This window comes from Homo sapiens, chromosome 19, assembly GCF_000001405.40.
Source record: "Homo sapiens chromosome 19, GRCh38.p14 Primary Assembly".
Lineage (NCBI taxonomy): Eukaryota > Metazoa > Chordata > Mammalia > Primates > Hominidae > Homo > Homo sapiens.
Window position 1 is genome coordinate 51,246,209 of NC_000019.10, and position 23,565 is coordinate 51,269,773.

At 42.9% G+C, this 23,565-nt stretch overlaps 1 protein-coding gene and 1 long non-coding RNA gene across 12 annotated transcripts in view; one reads left to right on the forward strand and one right to left on the reverse strand.

Moving 5' to 3' along the window:
• Nucleotides 1-23,565, reverse strand: part of LOC107985327 (uncharacterized) — an 84,260-nt gene that overhangs the window by 59,301 nt on the left and 1,394 nt on the right. Inside the window, exon 3 of one of the 3 annotated variants that reach the window (XR_001753983.2) lies at nucleotides 17,881-17,969. The exons of the other annotated variants lie outside the window; for them this stretch is intronic. This is a non-coding gene — a long non-coding RNA (uncharacterized LOC107985327). Of the gene's footprint in view, nucleotides 1-17,880; nucleotides 17,970-23,565 lie in introns of those variants that run through there. 3 annotated transcript variants of the gene reach the window in all.
• SIGLECL1 (SIGLEC family like 1) lies at nucleotides 124-23,122 on the forward strand. 9 transcript variants are annotated; one of them, NM_001385466.1, is made up of 6 exons: nucleotides 124-188; nucleotides 17,675-17,886; nucleotides 19,160-19,441; nucleotides 19,569-19,674; nucleotides 21,165-21,321; nucleotides 22,363-23,122. In NM_001385466.1, the coding sequence occupies exons 2-6, from the start codon at nucleotides 17,865-17,867 to the stop codon at nucleotides 22,387-22,389; spliced, it is 594 nt and encodes a 197-aa protein (NP_001372395.1). In that variant the 5' UTR covers nucleotides 124-188; nucleotides 17,675-17,864; the 3' UTR covers nucleotides 22,390-23,122. The 9 variants fall into 9 exon arrangements, 6 of the variants coding, with proteins under 6 accessions (NP_001372395.1, NP_001372394.1, NP_001295366.1 ...); NM_001385465.1 differs by lacking the exon at nucleotides 124-188 and adding an exon at nucleotides 4,872-5,337; XM_011526821.2 differs by lacking the exon at nucleotides 124-188 and adding an exon at nucleotides 9,721-9,824.

Consider the following 23,565-nt stretch of genomic DNA (forward strand, 5'->3'; position numbering starts at 1 on the left):
CTACACCATGAATAAGTGGCTTTTGTTCTCTTTCCCAGGCCACATTAACAGGAACTTGCAACCATCTGGTGGTCTGCTTGTATCCTGTAGGACTGTTTATCTTGCAAGAGTTAGGTGCTGACTCACGAGAGTGAAAACCAAAGAATCTGCTTCGAAAGGGATCCATGGGGCTTTGCGCAAGGATACAAGTGAGTATGGCCTCCTAACCTTACTTATCCTGCCTCACAACCTCAACGATATTCATATTCTGGCATTTGGGGCTGGATAATTCTTTGGTGGTGGTGGTTAGGGGAGGGTGTGGCAGGTCAGGTCTCCCTAACCGCTGAACAGGCAGGCCTCCATAACAACTGTCTCAGCACTGATTGAGTGGTTAAGTTAAATATTAAAAGCTGACAGAGCCAGTGCCCTCATACAAAGGCTGGAATGTAACAAAAGCCCACCAAGAATTTTGCCCAGGCCTTTTCTGGGCCTTGAGCATAACAAGATAATGAAGGAATTCTTAACAGGACCCGTTTAGGATTAAACAAGTTTTATTGGGGGGTCTGAAGAAACTCCTCTAAGCCTCCACAAACAAGTTTATTGGGGGTCTGAAGGAACTCCCCAAACCTCCATGATTTAGCAGGAGACAAGATAAGGGTAATCACCCCAGCACCTGGACCCATTTAGTTTAAATAAATTTACTGAGGCTACAGAGGAAGATCTTCAGGACTGACATCTTAGTTACAGATTGGAAGAAGTTAATCGCTTACGTCCAGATGAATGCACTCTTACATGTAGACAAATAGCTTAGAAGGTATATGAGCTCTGGAAAACTTTGTAATTTTGAGTTGGTCTGGCAATATTTTCCAGATCTTCTCCCTGTGCCCAGTTACAGAAATAAACTCCCTTCTCTCCCAGTTCACCTGCATCTTGTCATTGGGCTAAGAGAATAAGCAGCCTGACCCTTGGTTTGGTCCAGGAACAAGGGTGCATGGTCAGATGTTGAGCAGCGTCTCTAGGTTGTACACACAAGATGTCAGTAGCTCCCCTAGTCCAGTTTTGACAACCAAAAAAGGACTCCAGATATTGTCAGGTGTCTATCAGGGTGCAAAAAAGCACCAAATTGAGAAACACTGAACTAGAGCCTTCCTCCTCTGTATTCACATAGATACTTGAACAAAATGAACTTTCTCTAGTTCTTCAAGTTCACTACGAAAACCACTATGTTGCCCAATTTCTTTTTTTTTTTGAGACAGAGTCTGGATCCATCACTCAGGCTGGAGTGCACTGGTGTGATCTTGGCTCACTGCAACCTCCACCTCCTGGGTTCAAGCAATTCTCCTGTCTCAGCCTCCCAAGTAGCTGGGACTACAGGTGCCTGCCACCACGTCCAGCTAATTTTTGTATTTTTAGTAGAGACGGGGTTTCACCTTGTTAATCAGGCGGTCTCGAACTCCTGACCTCAGGTGATCCACCCGCCTCAGCCTCCCAAAGTGTTGGGATTACAGGCGTGAGCCACCGTGTCCGGCCGTTGCCCAATTTCAAAACAATTTAGTGCATTTGAAGAAGTTTATCGCAAAGCAAAAGTACACCCTGAGAGGCAGACGGAGGGAGAGATAGCCCCTAGTGTCTCAAGGGTCTCAAGACCCCCAGTAAAACTTGTTTAATCCTGAACGGGTCCTGTTAAGAATTCCTTTGTTATCACATTTATGAAGACGGTCTTGAGAAATCCTGAGGTTCTAATTTCTTTGTTTTCCAAACTTTTCCTGCATGCCTACTACATGCTACACCAATACAGGAGTTAAGAAGGAATTACTTAGGCCCAGAGCAAGGGCATGGGAGTCCTTGGTAAGGCTTTTCTTTTTAATGAAAAGCAGCCCCAAATCAGTTTCTAACAAAGAGCAGCCTGCAACCTGGGAGCTTGCATGAGTGAATGACGGCAGGAACTAAGGAATGGACATTTTCAAGATGGCCGCTCCATCTTCCCTTCTCTGTCACGTGCTGTAAGGAGCAGACAAGGTGGCACTGATCAACTGGAAAGTCCATTTGCATAAGAAGATTAGGGTGGGGTTACCAGCCTTCCTTGTGTGCTATTTAAACATTATACCCGATCAAACCAATCTATGAGCCTTATGTGAATCAGACACCACCTCCTCAAATGGGACTATAAAATTTGCAGCATTCACCACCAGATGGTCTTTTTTTCCGTTCCAAGACCCCTTCCTCTTTAGAGGAAGCAGTTTCTCTTTCTCTTCTCTTCTACCCATTAAACCTCCACTCCTAAAATCCTCGTGTGTTTCTGTGTCCTAAATTGTCCTGGCATGTGCCAGCGGAACCCCATGTTTATACCCCAAGTAACCTAGCTGCTTCAGCTCCTCCAAGAACATCAAAAGGAAGAAGATACAGTCCCTGGCTCATATGAAAATATAAACTTAGACACATTAAAATTTTAAAGAATTTATTTGAGCTGACATTCATGAATCCAGAAGTGCCAAACCACCTAGTGGGCACACAAGGAAAACTTTTATAAGGTATTCCTGGAATCAAAACAAAGAAAATAGTTTCATTTGGTTAAAGGGGAACGGTAGCCTTAAAGTTTGTAATTAGAGGTCAACTTGCAGTTTCTGATTGGTAAAGTCTCTACTTAGAGGTTAGTAGGCAGTTTCGATTGGTTAAGCCTAAGTTTCATTTTTCTAGGATATGACCATTCACTTTGAGTTAGGTTTGAATTTGCTTACTTGGAAACAAAGGCCTTGGAGCCATCTCAGCCTAATGGCTTCCCAGTTAGTTATTTTGACAATTGGGAGAGCTCAAGTTCATGGGGTAATGTTTGGGAAAGGGACAGAAATAGGTAACTTACTGAAACACAGTATGATAAGGTTCCTATAAAGATGGCAAAGGATATAAATTATGGGGATAATTATGGCCTAGGGTCTGGGGACCCAAGGGCAAGAGCTTTCAGGGATGGGAAAGAAGTTAGAAAAGGCTTCTCAGAGGAAGCCCCTTTCTAACTGCACCTTGAAGGGAAAGCAAGAGCCAGCAAGCAGAGAAGCGAGGAAAAGCAGTTTAGGTACTGATAATATCAATTACAAAGCAAGGAGGTAGAAGAGGGGCTGGCAGATGTTTAGGTAATAGCAGTCAGTCTGCTACAGCTAGGGTAAAGGGAACAAAGTCAGGTCCCCTCTCGGGAAGTCTATCTGGGGCCTGCTCTGCAAGCTGTAAGGGCCATGGAGTAAGGCCCTGGAGGGTGAACATCATCCTTCAGTCTGTCACATTAAAAAAAAAAAATCTGCACATAAATAAGGCAAGATTTTATCCAAAACAATTATTCCAATAAAGGGAGAAGAATCTTTGCAGCAGTGGAAGGGGAACTGCTGCAACAGGGAGGTGGAGACTGTTGTAATAGGGAGTGGAGGTCTCCCATGTACCATAAAACAAAACCAAAAAGTGAGCTTCTATTCTAGTGGCACAGTCAAACCATAAACAAAAATACCATTAGCAAATGATATTTAGCACAAAGTGTTTTTGTTACAGGAAAGGGGTTCTGATCCAGACCCCAAGAGAGGATTCTTGTATCTCTTGCAAGAAAGAATTCAGGGCTATTCCATAGAGTAACGTGGAAGCAAGTTTATTAAGAAAGTAAAAGAATAAAAGAATGATTACTTCATAGAGCAGCCCCGAGGGCTGCTGGTTGCCCATTTTTATGGTTATTTCTTGATGACATGCTAAAGAAAGGGTGAATTATTCATGCCTCCCCTTTTTAGACCATATAGTGTAACTTCCTGACGTTGCCATGGCATTTGTGAACCGTCATGGTGCTGGTAGGAGTGTAGCAGTGAGGATTACCAGAGGTCACTCTCATTGTCATCTTGGTTTTGGTGGGATTTGGCTGGCTTCTTTTTTTTTTTTTTCCTTTTGAGTCAGAGTCTCACTCTGTTGCCCAGGCTGGAGTGCAGTGGTGCAATCTCGGCTCACTGCAACTTCCACCTCGCGGATTCAAGCGATTCTCCTGCCTCAACCTCCCAAGTAGCTGGGGTTACAGGTGCCTGCCACCACGCCCAGCTAATTTTTGTATTTTTAGTAGACAGGGTTTCGCCATGTTGGCAGGCTGGTCTCAAACTCCTGACCTCAGGTAATCCGCCCGCCTCAGCCTCCCAAAGTGCTGGGATTACAGGCGTGAGTCACCGAGCCCAGCCTTGGCTGGTTTCTTTACTGCAACCTGTTTTATCAGCAAGGTCTTTATGACCTGTATCTTGTGCTGACCGCCTATATCATCCTGTAACTTAGAATGCCTTAGCCCTCTGGGAATGCAGCCCAGCAGGTCTCAGCCTCATTTTACCCAGCTCCTATTCAAGACGGAGTTGCTCTGGCTCAAATGCCTCTGTCATTTTGAAAGTGTAATGGGTAAGAAAGTGCGTGACGGATAAAGTGTGAGAAAAAATAAACAGGGTTAAACAAGAGGAACGGAGTCCTCAGGGTTGGAGAGGAGTGTGGTTTCATCAGCACGGGCTGGAAAGGCCTTGCTGGGAAGAAAATTGGCCCACAAACTACCCTGGCACCGCCCCCAGCTGCGGATTGGCTCAAGCCCTCAAGATCCAATTGGGCACAAAGGTTGGAGGAGGGAGTTGCAGTTGCAGTTCCTGATTGACTCTGGCAGCCGTGCATCAGCTCCCAGGGGCACACGCCTGTGGGCACAATGCTTCTGCTTCATTGATTGGCTGTAGAAAAAGCTCATGCAGCCTCTGATTGGCTATAAAATAAGCCCATGCAGCCTCTGATTGGCTGCAACATAAGCCCATGCAGCCTCTCATTGGTTGTAAAATAAGCACATGCAGCCTCTGATTGGCTGTGTAAAGTAAGCCCATGCAGCCGCTGATTGGCTGCGGGTGGATGCACTCACCTAAGGATGCGAGCTAGCAGGTCTTGCAGCGGCTATCACGCCCCTCACGCCGCTATCTCTGTGCAGCCGACTGAGGATCCCTAGTCGCATAAGGCTGTGCCTGGCCTGTTGGCGTCCCTGGCAGTTGTTGGGTTCTGGCGGTTGTTGGGTCCCTGGCAGTTGTTGGCGGTTGTTGGGTTCCTTCATTGAAACTGCACTAACTGGGCTTCCAGTCAGCGTCAGTCAGCGGATCCTTGGGCCGTGGGGCAGCCGCAGGTCGGTTAGGCCACCAGGGCGGCTCTCGTGCCAGTGAGGCCCCTGAGAGCCCTTTGGTCAGACAGAGGCTAAATCTGAACAGTCAGGCGGTGAGATTAAGCATAGTCAGGGAGTTCGCCAGGAGCCAGCGTTCCTCAGCCTCCACCACGTCAGTCACCTGGTCAGCCAGAGGGCAGCTGGGGCGACATCCATCTACCAAGAAGGTAAGCAAGCGGCCCGTGGGTTCACAATCAGGTCAGTGCCCTTATGAGTCAACGGTTAGTCCCTTTGAAAATCAGTTCATGAGAAAATCCACTCCCTTCAGAACCTGCCCTGTTCATTGGTTAGTTAGGCTCCCGCTAAGTCGGTCTCTTGGTAAGTTACACCCCTGCAAGGCACCCAGTCATTACTCACACAGTTATCCCATGTGTGTCTATCAGTTTCATTGTTAGTTATCCTGGCTTTCCCTAGAAAATCGTTTTCCTCACCATAAATAGGTCAGTCATTAGTAAGTCAGCCCTTCCCTTAGAAAGCCGAACACCTTTGCATCACTCACACCCTGCTAAGGAAATACACAGATGGAAGTGTGCTGAGAACAGAGAATATCCTGAGCCCTTTGGAACAAGAGACAGAAGGAAAATTGAGAGACATGATGGTGAAGGAAAATTGAGAGACATGGTGGTCAAGGAAAATAGGCTGGGCGCAGTGGCTCACGTCTGTAATCCCAGCACTTTGGGAGGCTGAGGCCGGGGATCACTTGAGGTCAGGAGTTCAAGACCAGCCTGGCCAACATGGTGAAACCCCGTCTCTTCCAAAAATACAAAAATTAGATGGGCATCGTGGCCCGTGCCTGTAGTCCCAGCTACTCGGGAGGCTGAGGCAGGAGAATCACTTGAACCCCGTAGGCAGAGGTTGCAGTGAGCCAAGATCGTGCCACTGCACTCCAGCCTGGGCAACACAGCGAGACTCTGTCTCAAAAAAAAAAAAAGAAAAGAAAAGAAAAAGAAAATATAATGGGTGCATGACGAGTCATCACATGTATGCTCTAAAACTGATGGAGAGAAGAAAGAAGAAATCAGAATTTTGTACTTAAATGGATCATTACATCTCCAGCAGTAAAACCCACTCATGTTACACATGAGGAAATAAGAAGAGGGAAAATACTTGACCACAGTTATTCAGTGCTTTACTGGCAAATCCTGGCCCAGGACCTAGACAAGGCTCATTCCGACCATCTAACATGGGCTTTTAAACAGAAGAAAGGGGAAGGAAAAAAAAATTGACAATGCAAAAAGAAAGTGGATATGTGGCGTGAATGAGAGAGGCATTTAACGACCTGGAAACTTGGGCGATATCTTTTTTATGTGAGAAGGAAAAAGGGCAATCAGTCTGGAGGCTAAGGGTTGGGAGCACAGACCACTCAGAGAGGTCTGTTAAAACATGCCGAAATATGGAATAGGAAAGGACAGGGCTGGTTCCAGAACTCTGGGAAGGGATTAGGGGTGGTCAAGAGTGGTCCCAGGCTGAGTGTGTTGGTTCACGGCTGCAATCCCAGCACTTTGGGAGGCTGAGGTGAGAAGACTGCTTGAGCCCAGGAGTTCGAGACCAGCCTGGGTAACATAGTGAGACTCTGTCTCTACAAAAAAAATTTTTTCATTAGCTGGACCTGGTGGCTTGTGCTTATAGTCCCAGCTACTCTGGAGGCTGAGGTGGGAGGATCACTTGAGCCTGGAAAGTCGAGGCTGCAGTGAGCCATGTTCATGCCACTGCACTCCAGACCCTGTGTTAAAAAAAAACAAAAAAAAAGTGGTTCCAAGTTAAATGCTGATAGGAGCTAAGCAGGGAACCTAATACATAGTAACTAACATTTTTTGATTGCTTACCAAATGTGAGGTTCTGTTCTACTGACTCATTTAATCTTAACAACAACTCTAAGATGGGTGCTATTATTATCCATGTTTTTAAAATGAGCAAGTAGGCCTAGAGAGAGGTGAAGCTACTTGCACACTATAAAACAGCTAACCTTCATATCTAGGCAGTTTGACTTGAATTTAAAATTTAAAAAAAAGAGAGAGAGAGAAGCTGGTTGTTTGAATTTTTTGTGAAGTGCTCTGATTATTAAATGTTATCCCATTTTAAAAGTTAGTTTTAAAAAGTAAGCATTTGTAGGCCAAACAAAATTCATTTATGATTGTTTTTAGTCTCTGAAGCAGGCTGACAGTGAGGGAAGTGACTTACCCAGAATCACCCAGGAAGTAGCGACAAAGATTAGGTCTTCTGACTTCTGGTCCACTTCCAGGAAAAATCTAAGTATACTGTGTGTCACATCAGGGCTAGCTGATTTATTCTTATATTTTATTCATGAGGAAGTGAATTTGGAGAGGAGAATGAACTTCACCATGCTTATACAGCAGTTTTTAAGGCAAAATAGAATCATGAAAAAGACACCACAGTTGTAGTCAAAGGTTGAGTCTGAAATCTATGAACGTAACGGCTGCATGTCTTGGGGCCAGTCATAGTACTTTTGTGGATCTCTGCCTTCCTTTTGGAAGTGTTGATAATGAGATGTACCTCACAGAGTTGTTGAGACTAAGATAAAAGATAAAATTTCTACGTCTCTAGAGTTGTAAATGGCAACCATAGTTTCTCATTAGATGTTAACCAAAAAAGTAGTTAACAGTCATGGCATGATTCAGTCATTCCCAATTGATTCACAGCAGGGCACAGTGGCTCATGCCTGTAATCCTAGCACTTTGGGAGGCTGAGGCGGGAGAATTGCTTAAGCCCAGGAGTTCAAAACCAGCCTGGGCAATATAGCAAGACTCGACTCTCTCTCTACAGAAAATATTTTTTTTAAATGAATTGGGTCTAGTAGTGTGCCCTTAAAGTCCCAGCTACTCGAGAGACTGATGTGGGAGGACTACTTGAGCTCAGGAGTTCGAGGCTGTAGATAGCTGTGATTGTACCACTGCACACCAGCCAGGGTGACAGGGTGAGACTCCATCTCTTTAAAAAAAAAAAAAAAAGGATTGATTCACAGTATCCAAATAGTAGAAACAACCCAAATGCCATCAACTGATGAATGGATAAACAAAATGTGGTCTATCCATACAATGGAATATTATTCAACGATAACAATGAAAGGAGTACTGATATCTGGTACAACATGAATTAGCCTTGAAAGCATGCTAAATGAAAGAAGCCAGACACAAAAGACCACATATTATATCATTTCATTTATATACAATGTCCAGAATAGGCAAATTTATAATTACGGAAAATAGATTAGTGGTTGCCTACAACTAGGGGGTGGAGTTGGGGTTTGGGGAAACGGGGAGTAAATGTTAATAGATATTGGTGTTTTTAGGGAGGTGATGAAAGTGCTCTGGAATTAGGTAATGGTGATGTCTGCATATCTTTATGAATATACTAAAACTCCTAAATTGTGTGCACTTTAAAATGGTGAATTTATGGTATATGAATTATAGCTCAATAAAAATAAAAAAATTAATTATAAAAAGGTTAGCTACCAGTAGACCCATGGCTAAATAAAAACCTGAAAATTTTAGGGAAAACTAGATACTCACATGGAAATTGGACACTTAGTTTATACCAAATACAAAAATAAACTCAAAATGGGTTAAAGACTTAAATATAGCCAGGCGCAGTGGCTCACGCCTGTAATCCCAGCACTTTGGGAGGCCAGGGAGGGTGGATCACTTGATGCCAGGAGTTTGAGACCAGTCTGGCCAACATGGTGAAACCCTGTCTCTACTAAAAATACAAAAGTTAGCCAGGCATGGTGGAGCACGCCTGTAATCCCAGCTACTCAGGAGGCTGAGGCACAAGAATCGCTTGCACCCAGGAGATGGAGGTTGCAGTGAGCCAAGATCATGCCACTGCACTCCAGCCTGGGCAACAGAGTGGGGACCCTGTCTCAAGAAAAAAAAAAAAAAAGACTTAAATATAAGAACTGAGATTGTAAAACTACTAAAAGAAAACATCGGAGAAAACTTCTGTATATTTATATGTAATACACAATAAAAATTATTGGTTTGGGAAATAGTTATTTGGATATTTCTGCAAAAACACAGGAAACAAAAGCAAAAATTGACATGCAAGATTGCAGCAAAGTAGTTTCTGAACAGCAAAGGAAACAATCAACAGAGTGAAGAGACAACCTACAGAATGGGAGAAAATATTTGCAAAGCATCCATCTAATAAGGGGCTAATATCCAAAATACATAAGGAACTCAAACAACTCAATAGCAAAAAAATCAAATAACCCAATTAAAAAATGGGCAAGGACCTGAATAGGCATTTCATAAAAGAAGACATACCAAAATGGCCAACAAGTATATAAAAAAAATGCCTGACATCACTAATCATCAGAGAAATGCAAATTCAAACCACAGATATCACCTTATACCTATTAGATGGGTATATCAAGAAGGCAAAAGATAGCAAGTGTTGATGAGGATGTGGGGAAAAGTAAACCTTGTACACTGTTGGTGGAAATGTAAATTGGTATAACCACTATGGAAAATAGTATAGAGTATCCTTTAAAAATTAAAAATAGAACTACCATATGATTCAGGAATCCCACTTCTAGGCATGTATTTGACAGAAATGAACTCAGTATCTTGAAGAGATATCTGCACTCCTGTGTTCATTGCAGCATTATTCACCATAGCCCACACGTGGAATCAACGTAAGTGTCCATTAATAGATGAGTAAAGAAAATATTATATATGTATACACACATGCACGCACACACACACACACACCCCATTCAAATAATGTCATTTTGTTCAACATTGTCTAATCATAAGAGAAAAAAATCAATTCCCAGCCAGTACCAGTATCTGTGTGGAGTTTGCATGTTCTTATATATGGTAAAATTGGTTTCATTTTACATCATTTCACTTAAAGCAGCAGTTTCCAAGAACTGAATGATGATGTTAAGTGAGGATTTATTGTGCACACACACATACACACACAGTGGAAGTTATTCAGCCTTAAAAAAGGACATCTTGCCATTTGCAGCAACGTAAATAAACCTGAAAGACATTATGCTATGTGAAACAAGTCAGACACAGAAAGACAAGTACTGCATGATCTCACTTATATGTAGAATCTAAGAAAGTCAAACGCATGGAAGCAAAGTATAGAATGGTGGTTGCCAGGGCTGAGGGCTAAGGGAAATGAGATATTGATCAAGGGGCACAAAGTTTCAGCTAGGCAGAATGAATAAGTTCTGGAGGTTTCATGTGCACCATGGTGACTATGGTAAATAACACTGTACTGTATACTTGAAATTTTGTGACAGTAAATATTAAGTGTTCTCACCACCAAAAAAATGGTAACTGTGAAGTGCTGATTATGTTAATTCACTGGATTGTGGTAATCATTCCACAGTGCATACATACATCAAAACGTCATGTCGTACACCTTAAGTATATACAATTTTTATTTGTCAGTTATACCTCAATAAACCTGGAATTAAAAAACTGAAAATTCTATAATCTCATCTCTGATCACTGCTCTAACCATAGGTAAGCACTGGTATCAAATTATACATCATTCTAGATCTTTGTTTTACTCATTCATGTATGTATAGTTTTGAGTGTATTATATATGAATATGTAGATACATATTTACATATTATATATATAAAGCTTTTATATAAATGACAAATGATCCAGTTTTCATTTAAAGATTGTGAAATATTTCAGACATATAGAAAGATATAAATATGGTATAATGAGCATATACCCACCACCAGCTTAATATTGAAAACACTGGCTGGGCACGGTAGCTCACACCTGTAATCCTAGCACTTTAGGAAGCCCAGGTGGGAGGACGGCTTGAGCCTAGGAGTTCAAGACCAGCCTGGGCAACATAACAAGATCCCATCTCTACATAAATTAAAAAATTAGTCAGGCATGGTGGCACATGCTTGTAGTCCCAGCTACTTGGGAGGCTGAGGTGGGAAGATTGCTTGAGCCTGGGAGGTCAAGCCTGCAGTGAACTGTGAATGCTCCGTTGCACTCCATCCAGTCTGGGTGACAGAGCAAGAAACTGTCTCAAAAAAAAAAAAAAGAAAAGAAAAGAAAGAAAACACTACCCCTGGTATACTCCCTTCCCCAAACACATCTCCCACTCTCAAACATAGAGATCGCTGCTATTCTGAATTTGACATTTTATTCTGTGTACTAAGGAACTTAACCTTGCCTGAAGAGAAGTCTGGCCTTTGCCCTTGGCTTCTGGAAGACACTCCCTAGCTCTTAGAATGTCACACCTCATAGGGGTGTCTTTGTTTGCCCAGGGACCTTGCATCACACTGAATATTCTAGAAATGTGATTTAGGATGAGGGCTGGCCACACCAGATAATGTTAACAATGTGATTTAGAGTGGAAGCAATACCAGATAGTCTAACAATGTGATTTAGAATAGGGGCTTTGGATCAAATGGTATCAGCTCAACTTCAGGAGGAGCTGGATGCTAAGATCCACCATGAGGGAAGTCACCATGTTACACGATGGAGGCCCAATAAAAACACTGGACACAAGGCTTGGGTGAGCTTCTTTAGTTGACAGTACTATGCATATTGTCACACATTATCACCAGGAAAGCTAAGTTATGCTGTCCATGACTCCACAGGGAGAGGATAACTAGAAGCTTTGTGTGGGGAACTTCTGGCCTCTGCCCTGTATGTCTTCCCTTGGCTGATTTTAATCTCTATCCTTTAGTTGTAGTAAACAGTAATCACGAGTATAACAGCTTTCAGTGAATTCTGTGAGTACTTCTAGTGAATTACCAAACCTAAGGGTAGTTTTGGGGTTCCAAAACCTTGCAAATGATTTGAGAAATGAGGGTAATCAGGGATCCTTGATATCTTCAGTTGGTGTCAGAAATGAGGGGATCTTGTGGACCATTCCCTAACTTTTCAGTTGTATCAGAAATGGGATTCACTAGAACAGCCCTGACTCACTGAAACATATGGTTTGAAAAGAGGAAGGATGTGAAGTCAAGATGATAAGCCTTTGATTCCTGGGCTGTCCTGCGGTCACCTGTGCGTATAGAAATGCAGCTGTTCTGCAAACAGTTACAGGAGGTAAAAGTTACCATTGCTTTTTCAATACAATGGATCCAACCCCCAAGGAGCTGACCCACTGGATGCATAAGGAAACAAACTAAATAGGCAGTCCCTTGGCTATTTTTATCTGTAATCGTTAAAATGAAAGTGGCTGAGGCGGATCCTGATGCTGGCCCAATCTTGGGCTCTGGCCAGCCTGAGCTACAGCTGCTAGCCTCAGGGCTGTGGCTAAAGGGAAAAGTTAGGCTGAAATGACAGATGGCAAAGAAAATTAGAGTGGTTCACCAGAGAGTGAGAAAAGACGAACATTTCCAAGAGGGTGGAAATCTTTATAAACAGTTATTAAGAAATGAGATGAGTTAAGTGGACATTGAGGGAGTCTAAACAAAGGTCTCAGTGGAGCACTCTTAGAAATTAGGTGGAGCAGTGAGAACCTAGACTTGCCCTCCAGTGTTGAAGGTCCCCCATCAAGTCTGCTATATTTACCCTAGTTTGGAGGAATTTTAGAAGCCAGAAGGCAAACATGACAATGGGAAATCTGACCTCAGATCTCCTGAGGGGACGAACATGTGATCTAATCAAGATAAATGACAAAAGGGCCTGGGTTGCTTGGCCTGACCCCTAACTGAAGACCCAAAGTCATATGCATATTAGTAGTAAAATAGTCAGGGGATGGATAAGAGATATTTCTGGGACTCATGTGGGAGTCTTATACCTGCATTCCAAAAGGTTGGTGAAATTCTAATAGCATCTATGGTTAGATTGCGAAGACATAGGATTACAAAGTGGATGAGATTCAGGCGAAACTTTGGATGAAAATTGGAATGTTTGGACAGACTATGTAAATATGTTATGTGAATGTATTTACCTAAATGTATTATGAGGAAAGATATTGTGTCCAACTATGGAAGAGTTCCCCTACGTACTATTATGAAACAGAAGGCATGTAAATCTTCCCTTCAACCAATATTGATTGAATATGCTAAATAGGAACCAATAAGATTGCCCAAGCCCACACTAATTGTTAATTTGAAACAGTACAGGATATCTGGTGGACAAAACATGTTAGAAGCTTAACGTTTGCTTTATTTAGGCAGACTGGAGCTAAGGCCAGTGAGCACCACCCAGTGGTGAATGCTGGGATTTGGGGCCAGAAAATTTCCAATGGAGAGACAACTAGCTGCCTATTGGGCTTTGAGTCTGCCCCATCATTGAAGGATATAATAATCCTGACACCTGAAATCCTCATGATGTGTTTGTCATGTTGGAAAAACACTGTAGTAAGGAAGGCCATGCCCAAAAGAGTCTCGTAATAAAATGGAAATTGTTTATACAGGAACATGCTACCAGGGAAATGCAAGGAGGTCCTCGTTATATTTATGAACAGGTGGCTTTTTCCCTACTGAAGAGCTGCGAGATCCTATTATTACTTGAATGATGTCTATTAATAGCTCTTGATTGACCAACTAAGAGCGGTTTGATTTATGGATGGCAATTCCAAAGTGAATTAATAACATCCTGTTTGGAAGACTGGCACTCATACTGAGGAAGGCAAAAACAAGTCACTTCAGTGGGCTGAACTGCCTCCACATTTGGGTTTTTACCAATTCATGGGCAGTGGCCAATGGCCTGGCCATATGGTCAGGCAGATGGGCAATGGGAAACTGTACTATTAAAAGGATGCCTATATAGGGTACAGCCTTATGGAATTCACTATAGCCAGTATCTCAAAAGACCTGTTCATACCCCCTACAAATGATAAAATAAACAGAGAAACAGACCTCTTCCTCCCAAAAAGGCAATTAATATCCTACCTTTTATGCTGGACATTTCTTGGCAACTTTTAAAGGATTTTTACTACTTGTGTGTGCGTTCTTAAACACTTGATTTTGCCCGGTTTTTTTCAAATTTTAAAGAAATGCTCATACATTATTACTTATTTGTGTCTGGCTTTGTTCATTCAATATTTTATTTGTAAGAATGGTCCATGTTGTTGCATCTAGCATTAGCTCATAGGTTTTTGTTGCTGTGTAGTATCTCATTTTTTAAAATTCTCTGTTTACTGGCATTTGGATTGTTTACCTTTTTAGCTATTTTTAAATAATACCACTGTAAACATTTTTGCATTCCTTTGTGGCGTACATATGCACAAACATTTCTATAAAGTATACATCTGGGAGTGGAATTGAGGGTCATAGAGTATGTGTATCTTCTGCTTTGATAAATAACTTTGTTGCCCTGATTTATATTTCCACCAATAGTGTGTGAAAGTTGAGTACCACATTCTCACCAAGACTTGATATATTGTCTTGGATATGTACTGGTATCTGATGGTTTTAACAGGCATTTTGCTGGTTATTAATGAGATTTTAAATATTTTCATGGAAATTTTATTAAGATTTGTCTTATGATCCAGCTGTGGCCAATTTCTGTAAACGTTCTCTGTGTGCTTACAAAGAAATTGTATTCTGCAGTTATTGATTGCAGTATTCTCTATATATTTTTGGTCAAATTTGCTGATCAAGTTGTTGAAATCTTTATATATTCCAATAGTCTGTTTGTTCTGTCAGTTTCTGAGAGAACAGTGATTAAAATGTCACACTACTATTGTGGATGTCTGTTTCTCCTTTTATTTTTGTAGATTTTTTGCTTTATATATTTTTGGACTATGTTAGTAGGCAAACACAAATTTTAAATATATACTTTATTCCTGTTAATGTCAGCTTATCATTAGGAGATATGCCATTCTATCTTTGGTAATGCCTTTTGCTTAAAGTCTGCTTTATGGGATGTTAATGTAGGTATGTCTACATTACCTGGCTTTCTGGTTGGTATTTGCTTGGTGTATGTTTTCATTCTTTGGTTTTTTCTTTTTTTCTTTTTTTGAGACGGAGTCTTGCTCTGTCGCCCAGGCTGGAGTGCAGTGGCATGATCTCGGCTCACTGCAAGCTCTGCCTCCCAGGTTCATGCCATTCTCCTGCCTCGGCCTCCTGAGTAGCTGGGATTACAGGGGCCCGCCACCACACCCAGCTAATTTTTTGTATTTTTAGTAGAGACGGGGTTTCACCGTGTTAGCCAGGATGGTCTGGATCTCCTGACCTCGTGATCCGCCCGTCTCGGCCTCCCAAAGTGCTGGGATTACAGGCATGAGCCACCGCTCCCGGCCCATTTGGTTTTTTAACTGTCCTTTACACTTATGCTTTGGTTGTGTCTTTTGTAAACAGCATGGAGTTTGGCTTTGCTTCTTTTTTCCAATATGATGATCTTAGATTCATAACTGGATAATTTAAGCCATTTATATTTAGTTAAATCACTGATGTATTGGAGTTTAAATCTAACATCTAGGTACATGATTTCTACTTGTCCCAACCGTTCTATTCTCTTTTGTATCCCTTCTGTTTGTTTCTCTGTCTTTATTTTCAAACAAGCTTTTAAATCAAAGTACAATTTTATACAGAGAAGTATTAATACAGATAGTAAGTATACAACTCAAATTATCACAAAGGGAGCAGACCAGTGTAACCACCACTGAGGTCAAGAAATAGAACATTAACAACACCCCAAACACTCCACTCATGTACTACACCATTCATTACCCCCTTTATCCTTGCTATGTTCTGGATGCAAGCACGTTGTATGTGTTGCAAGTATGTTCTCCAGCCCTGCAACTTGCATTTGTCCTCCTTAATGGTATCTTTTGATGCAGAAATTAATTCTGATACAGTCCATTTTATCCATATTTCCTCATAGCTAGTGCTTTTTGGCCCTTTTAAAGAAATATTTCCTTACCTAAAACTTACCAAGATACTCTCCTATGTTGTATTAAAGAATTCCACTGACCAATGTGGTAGCTACTAACTACATATGGCTATTGAGCCCTTATATTATGGCTAGTCTGAATTGAAGTGTGCTGTAAGTGTAAAATATATACAAGATTTTGAAGAGTGTATAAAGAATGTACCAAATCTTAACAATTTTGTGTTGATTGCATGTTGAAATATTGGGTTAGGTTCAATATGAATAACCTAGTGAATAACCTAGGTTTCTTTCACTAGGTTAAATGAAACATCATTAAAATTAATTTTACCCATTTCTTCCTTTTTAATGTGGCTGCTAGAAAATTTAAAATTATACATGTAGTCCACATTTATAGGTCACATTATATTTCTTCACACAGCACTGTTCTAGAAAAAAAGTCTAAGGACTTTCCCAATGTCCCTAGAAGTTATTTTTATGTATGACATGAGGTAGGGGTCTTATTTCCTTTTGCTGTATGGCTGTCCAGTTATTCTGACACAATTTATTCAAAAGAGAGTCCTTTAACTTCTATGCAGTGCCATATTTATCCTAAACCAAGTGATCACATATGTATAGGTATTTTTCTAACCATATAGCCTGTCCCATTGGTATTTTTATTTATCCTTGTGTCAATACCATACTCTATGAATTACTATGTATGTATGTATGTATTTTATTTATTTACTTATTTATTTTGAGATAAAGTCTTACTCTGTAGCCCAAAGCTACAGTGCAGTGGCGTGATCACGGCTGACTGCAGCCTTGACCTCCCTACCTCAGGTGATCCTCCCACCTTAACCTTTCAAGTAGCTGGGACTACAGGTGCGTACCACCACACCCAGATAATTTTTGTATTTTTTGTAGAAACGGGGTTTTACCATGTTGCCCACGCTGGAATTACTATGGATTTTTAAGTCATGATATCCAGTAGGAATTGGAATTGATCATTTTTTTGAGACAGGGTCTCGTGCTGTCTCTTTTTTAATAGAAATTTACTGAGAACAAATTTATTAAATAAATGTCTACATGGGATATAAAAGGGAACATTGTGCCATGCTATACAATGTTACTTACACCATTCATTTCAAATTTTATGGCAAAACAATTATACTGTGGTAGGGAGATGTTGTTTTACACTTCTCACCAAACTAAACATTATCATATTTTTCCTGAGAGAATGTCAACACTTTGCTATCTTAAGTGATCACACCACTGCAATCCAGACTGGGTGACAGAGAGAGAGAAAGACCCTGTCTCAAAAACAAAAACAAACCGGGCATAGTGGCTTATGCCTGTAATCTCAGCTGTTTGGGAGGCCAAGGCGGGTCAGGTGTTTGAGACCAGCCTGGCCAACATGGTGAAACCTCATCTCTACTAAAACTACAAAAATTATTTGGCCATGGTGGTGAATACCTGTAATTCCAGCTACTCGGGAGGCTAAGGCAGAAGAGTCGCTTGAACATGGGAGATGGAGATTGCAGTGAGCCGAGATCGAGCCACTGCACTCCAGCCTGGGCGACAGAGTAAGATTCCATCTCAAAAAACAAAAATAAAACAAAGAATAAAGCAGACATGACACTGAGGCTTCACAGACAATCTTAGTTGCCTCCCTGTCCGTACGTGCTCATGAGCCTCTCATCCCATATAATTCCTGCTTCTCCAGGTGAACAGGCCTTCACGATGACCAGAGACAGAAGCCCCTGACTTGGCTAAAGATACTTCTGCTCTCCCCATCCCCACATCCTCTTTCAGTTACGCATCACCTCACTCCTTCTGAACCATATGGTTCTGATGTCAGAGCCAGTGTAGTAAAGAGCTTCTGCTGTTCCTGAGAACTGTTGCTGCTGGAAGTGATGCTTCCACTGCTACAGCTGGGTAAGTAAGGTGAGAAGCAGCACTGGAGGTGTGTTTGGAAGCCAAGACTCCAGGGCCTGGGTGTTGGCAGGGCAGAGGATGGGCTATGGAGGCATGGAGAAAGAGGACATATGGGCATAAGTACCAAATAATCAACATGAATTAGACAGCTTCTGTGTGTCAGATTTTGACAGGGCTGGTGTGTCTGAAGCAAATAGCAAATTGGGCAAGGGAGAGGGATGGAGAGTGTAGGTGCTATGAAGGCATGAGAGCACTAGGAGCTGTTTCAGACATTACTGGAAGCCCTGAAGTTAAGTTTTTCAGTGTTTCTGTGGGCACACTTTGCCAGGTGGAAAAGACAATTCAGAGGACAGCCATAGAGGGGTCCGTACATGAGAGTCCCCCGCAGATTCCTCAACAGCGCCCCGCAAGTGACTCAGGTGAAGAGACCGAGATCAGGAGCTACTGGTTAGGGGAAAATTACCCCTTTCTTCCAGTAACCTCAAAAAACTTCAACGAAAAAGTGTGTGTCAACACTGAAGACAGATTCCTCATTATTAGAGACCTTGATGAATGTGACTGTTCCCTCCTAATCCATGATATTCATCAAATGGCCACCATGTCCTACCTGTTCTAAATAGAGCGAGGCAATTTCCAGCATTCTTACACAGAAGATGCCATAGTACATTTGGCTTCCAGTGAATGTTCCACCAAAGACCACTTGAGACCGGGAAGAAGGAAATTAAGAAAGGTGTTCTGTTTATTGAATGGGTAATACTTCACTACGCACTGAGCTGGGTGCACTGCAAATCTTGGGGCATTCATTCTTATAACGATGATAATATGAGATAGGTTCAGCAAATATCCCGATTTTCCAGGCTAGGAAACAGCAATGATAAGGGGAGTGACTTGCCCAGCAGCACCCAGACAGGAAGTGATGGAGGGAGAATTGGTCATAGAGCCTAAGAGGAACATTGCAGGTGGGAAGAAGAGAAGCAGAGTAGGAGGTCTGGCTTGGACTTCTAGCCTTGCAGGGTAGGTGAGGGATCACAGACAATGTAGAGCCTCAGGAAATTTACTTGCCACCCCTCAAGAAGGTCTAGCGATCAGGTTCAGGCCAGATGAGGACAGAAGATAGAGGGGAACTGGTCTGGGAGGCCTGAATCCTGTGGGCTTCCAGAAAGTCCTTCTGAAGCTCCTTGTGAATAGCAAGTAAAGAGAAGGCTGCATGCTGGAGAAACTGGAAGAGGGAAGCCAGGATGCCTTGCTGACTCCTGACCCTTCCTCCCCACAGTACCTGCTAAGCTGCTCAACTCCTCTTGCTCCTTGGAGAAGACACTGCAGTGCAGCTGTTCCTTCCATGGGATTCCCACACCCTCTGTGCAGTGGTGGATGGGAGGAGTCCCCGTGGGTGTGGATGGCATGGATGGCAGCCTCCAAGTGACTTCCACCATGCTTGGCCCCTGGGCTAACAGCACCATCAGCCTAACTGAAGAGCCAGAAATGGGCATGAGACTTCTCTGTGAGGGGAAGAACCAAAACGGAACCCATGCTTTGAGCATCCTACTGATGTCAAGTGAGGGTGGAGGGGGCTCGGTGACTGGGTGAGGACAATAAGCGGGATGGGGACAGTCACTGGGGCTAGAGAATGGAGCAGAGTTTTGGCTCCGATGCCAAACTTCTCACATGCTCTCTGCTTCCAGGAAAGAGTTCTTTGGCTGCCCAGGCCTTCGTGAAAGGGCTGATCCAGGGTGCTATCTATGCGGGAATTGTAATTGCGCTGCTCTTCCTCTGCCTCCTCCCTCTCATGTGAGTACTAGGGTTAATATTCACCCGCAAGCCTACTACCGGGCAGGCCCTGGCTGCAGCCCTGGCACAGAGAGAGCAAAGACAGGACCCCTCCCCTCAAGGAGCTTAGGGTCTAAAGAGGGAAAGATGTACCAAACATGGTCACCACAATCCAGGGCCATGAGGACTATACAGAACCGTAAAACTGTGTCATAAAACAGACACTTTGAACACATTTTATAAAGGAGAAGACCAAGAAGGGACTTGGCAGCCCTGGAAAAGGCAGCAGCGAGTCCCCGGGGTGCTGTCTGTGGTGGGCCTGCAAGGGTTCAGTACTCGTTAGCTTGGTGGAAAGTATTAATAGTACAGGTTGAGTATCTAATCCAAAAATCCAAAATCCGAAATGCTCCAAAGTCCAAAAGTTCTCGAGGCACCGACATAATGCCACAAGTAGAAAATTCCACACCTGACCTCATGTGATAGTTCAATGCACACAAACTTTATTTCATGCACAAAATAATTTTAAATATTATATAAAATTACCTTCAGGCCATGTGTATAAGGTATATATGAAACATAAATGAATTTTGTTTTTATACTTGGCTCCTATCCCCAAGATATGTCATTATGTATAAACAAATATTCCAAAATCTAAAAAAAAAAAAAAAAATTGAAATCTGAAACACTTCTGGCCCCAGGCATTTCAGATAAGGGATATCTAACCTTTGTATGCAGACGCCCAGAGGCATGTTTGAGGCATTTCCAGTGTCTTTGTATAATGTCAGGTGCATTGAGAGTACCAGGTAATGGCTAAAAATGAGGTTGAAAGACATCCTTGGTGTTGGTTCACAGGGTGTTAAAACTTAGCTGCATGTATTAGCTAGAAGCATGGAGTGGGAAGGGGTGAGTTGCAGGAAGTCAGGCCAGAGAGACGGGCAGGGGAGCCTGTCCAGACAGCTTGGACTGAATCCTCATTTCGGAGCCATGGAAGAGTGCTAAGCTGTGAAGGAAAGCTTGAGCTTGGGGTGGGACACAGATTAGAGAGAGTGAGAGCCAGAAGGTCAGAGGCCAGGCAGGAAGCTGGTGCAGGGGACTAAGCAGGAAATAGAAGGCCTGACCTGGGGCAAGTGATGAGGGGCAGCCAGAGAGGTGGGACTTGGGCATGGCTGGCTATGGGGAGACAAAGATGAGGAGTGAGGTGTCAGGGCAAACTGAGGAGCTATTTTCAAAGTATAATCAACAGGACTTGAAGACCAGTAACAATCTCTCTGCCAGTTGCAAGGCCCTTTCTTAGCTGACCTCATCTGAGCCCCACAGCCTAATAAGCAGGGTATCCCCCTTATTCAGAGTGTGAAACTAATTCCCAGAGAGGATGTGTGGCTTGCCCTAGGTCATACAGCAAGCTGGTACTGTTGTTGAGGCTCTAAATCAGAAGTTCTGGTCAAGATAGAGCCCATTTGGGGATTCAGGGAGATGGAGAGCCAGAACCAATCCAAGGCTTATTTCCTTAGAGTGAAACATATCAGAAAGAAGCAGGCGAAGAAAGCTGCAGCGATCAGAGCAAAAAAGAGCTCTAAAGTCAGAGCAAGCCAAGAACTTGAGATGTCTCTGAAGCCTGAGGAACCAGGAAAACCCGTAGTCGCCACATTTTCTGAGAGCCGGATATTGGTATGTACCTATTGTGTCTGGAATCTAGTCTATCGGAATACTGATAATAAGACCCACAGGGAAAGGAGCACACAGTGTTTTGAAGGTGTTATCATCCTCAGTCTTGCAGGATACCTAATGCTAGAGTGTGCTTTCAGGTCATTTTATAAATAGGAAGCTAAGGCCCAGAGAGGAGAAGGATGAAAGTTAAGAGAAACAATTTAAAGAACAATTAAAATCAATTTACACGCACACACCATTACATTGAATCCCCACTGAAAAGGCAGTTGGGGAAAATCCTAATAGCAGTTGTAGCATCAGAGTGGAAACCAAGGATTTGGCCTCTGAGTGTATGGCCGGCAGCAGTCAGCTTGGTGTAGATGCCACAGGCCAAGTCAGCCTGAAGTGGTTAGAGATTAGGCCAAGCCCAGGTTACTCCTTCATTCACCCTGTACCCCACATCTTCAGCAGGGCTTGGAAGATACAGTGTCCGAGGTTGCTATGCCTCACTGTTATTTACCGTTTATGATTCTCCAGAATCAGAATTATCCTGCTGCCCTCCTAACACCCTGCATGAACAGTTGGTGTCCTTTTGTAGATAAGCCATCTGTTAAATTCCACCAATATTTCCTGCAATATCTCCTAATCTTTGTGCTCGACAATGCTGGGGTCTCAGAAATGGGCCAAACCTAGGCCTTGTCCTCAGAGAGCAACTAGACTGGTCGAGAAGGCACCTTCACAGTAGGGGATGCTGAGCCAGGAGTTACGGTGGTGCAGAAGAGGGAGGGACCAAACCTACCTGAGGAAGTCAGGCAAGATTCCCTGAGGAGTCTAAGGAACAGTCAGTGTTATGGGTACTGAAGATGCACAGAGAGGACCAGATGGAGAAGACCGAGTTGCAGGCTTTAACCATGGGGTTGTGAGGAAGGGCTAAGCCAGTGCTCACTCCATGTTGCCTTAATTCTGTGCACAAGGGGGTGTCTTTTTAAGATTTGGATACCTCACCTCTAGACCTGTTCCAACATTCTTTTTTCTTTGTTCTATTTTGCACCTCGCTTTCAGGAAAAGCAAGATAAACGAGCCAGCTAAGCCTGTGGAACATGCCTCATACCTGGAGTCGCCATTATCCCTGGAATTACAAAGATCTGCAAAATTTATAGCGCTCACAGAAACCCTGGAGGCTGTAATAAACCTGGAGCCCCCTGGACTCTCCTCAGCTCACAAAACCCTCTCAATTCCTACACATCCCTTAACACTCATTCTCCATTGAATAGGTGGTTACTCTTAGACCTAGTCTTAGAACCTCTGAAGACACACTTTGTAATTTGTTGTTTGGCTAAATGAGAAGAAATCTGTGCCACCCTGGGAAGGTGTCAAAAGAAGGAAAAATACATGTGACAATATGAATCAAGTCCATCAGCAAGTTACTTTTGAGCGCCTACTGTGTGTCAGTGCCTGAGATACACCTACAAGAGCGCCAGGCTTTCAAGCCTTCATATCTGGATAGAATCCCAACTTCAGTGCTTGGTGGCTGTCTATCTTTGGACAAGATCTTTCATTCCCCATCCTTTGAACATCACATGACCCATATCTGGGTGGAGAATGGGTGAAAAGTACTGTTCAGAGATGCAGGTGAGAAAAAACATGACGATGGGCCCTGAATGCCAAGATTCATTGGAGCTTTGGAGCTTTATCTTGTAGGACCTTATCCTGACTCCCTTAGAATGTAAGTTCCAAGAGAACAGGGACTTTGTCTGCCTTGTTTTCTACTTTTATCACCAGCACCCAGAATGATGCCTAAAATACAATAAGATCTCAAGAATGTTTGTCAAATGATTTAATTAATTATAAGCTGTTTTAAGGTTTGAAGCAAGCAAGTAGAGTGACCAGATATAGACAGAAAAATCATTTCCGTACCCTGACCCCACATATGATATATTTAGAATGGGTAAGGCTGGAGGTAAAGATGCTAGTTAGGAGGTTATCGCAATAGTTCTTGGCCAGATTGAAAGGCAGGCATGCAAGGAATGGGAAAGGGATTCTGGCATTAGAATGAACCACAACTATGTATTGTTCCTCTCAGAATGGATGACAACCTCCTTTCTAGCCAGATGCTAGTAGATTTTTTTTTTTTTTGAGATGGAGTTTTGCTCTTGTTGCCCAAGCTGGAGTACAATGGTGCAATCTCGGCTCACTGCAACCTCTGCCTCCCGGGTTCAAGTGATTCTCCTGCCTCAGCCTCCCGAGTAGCTGGGATTACAGGCA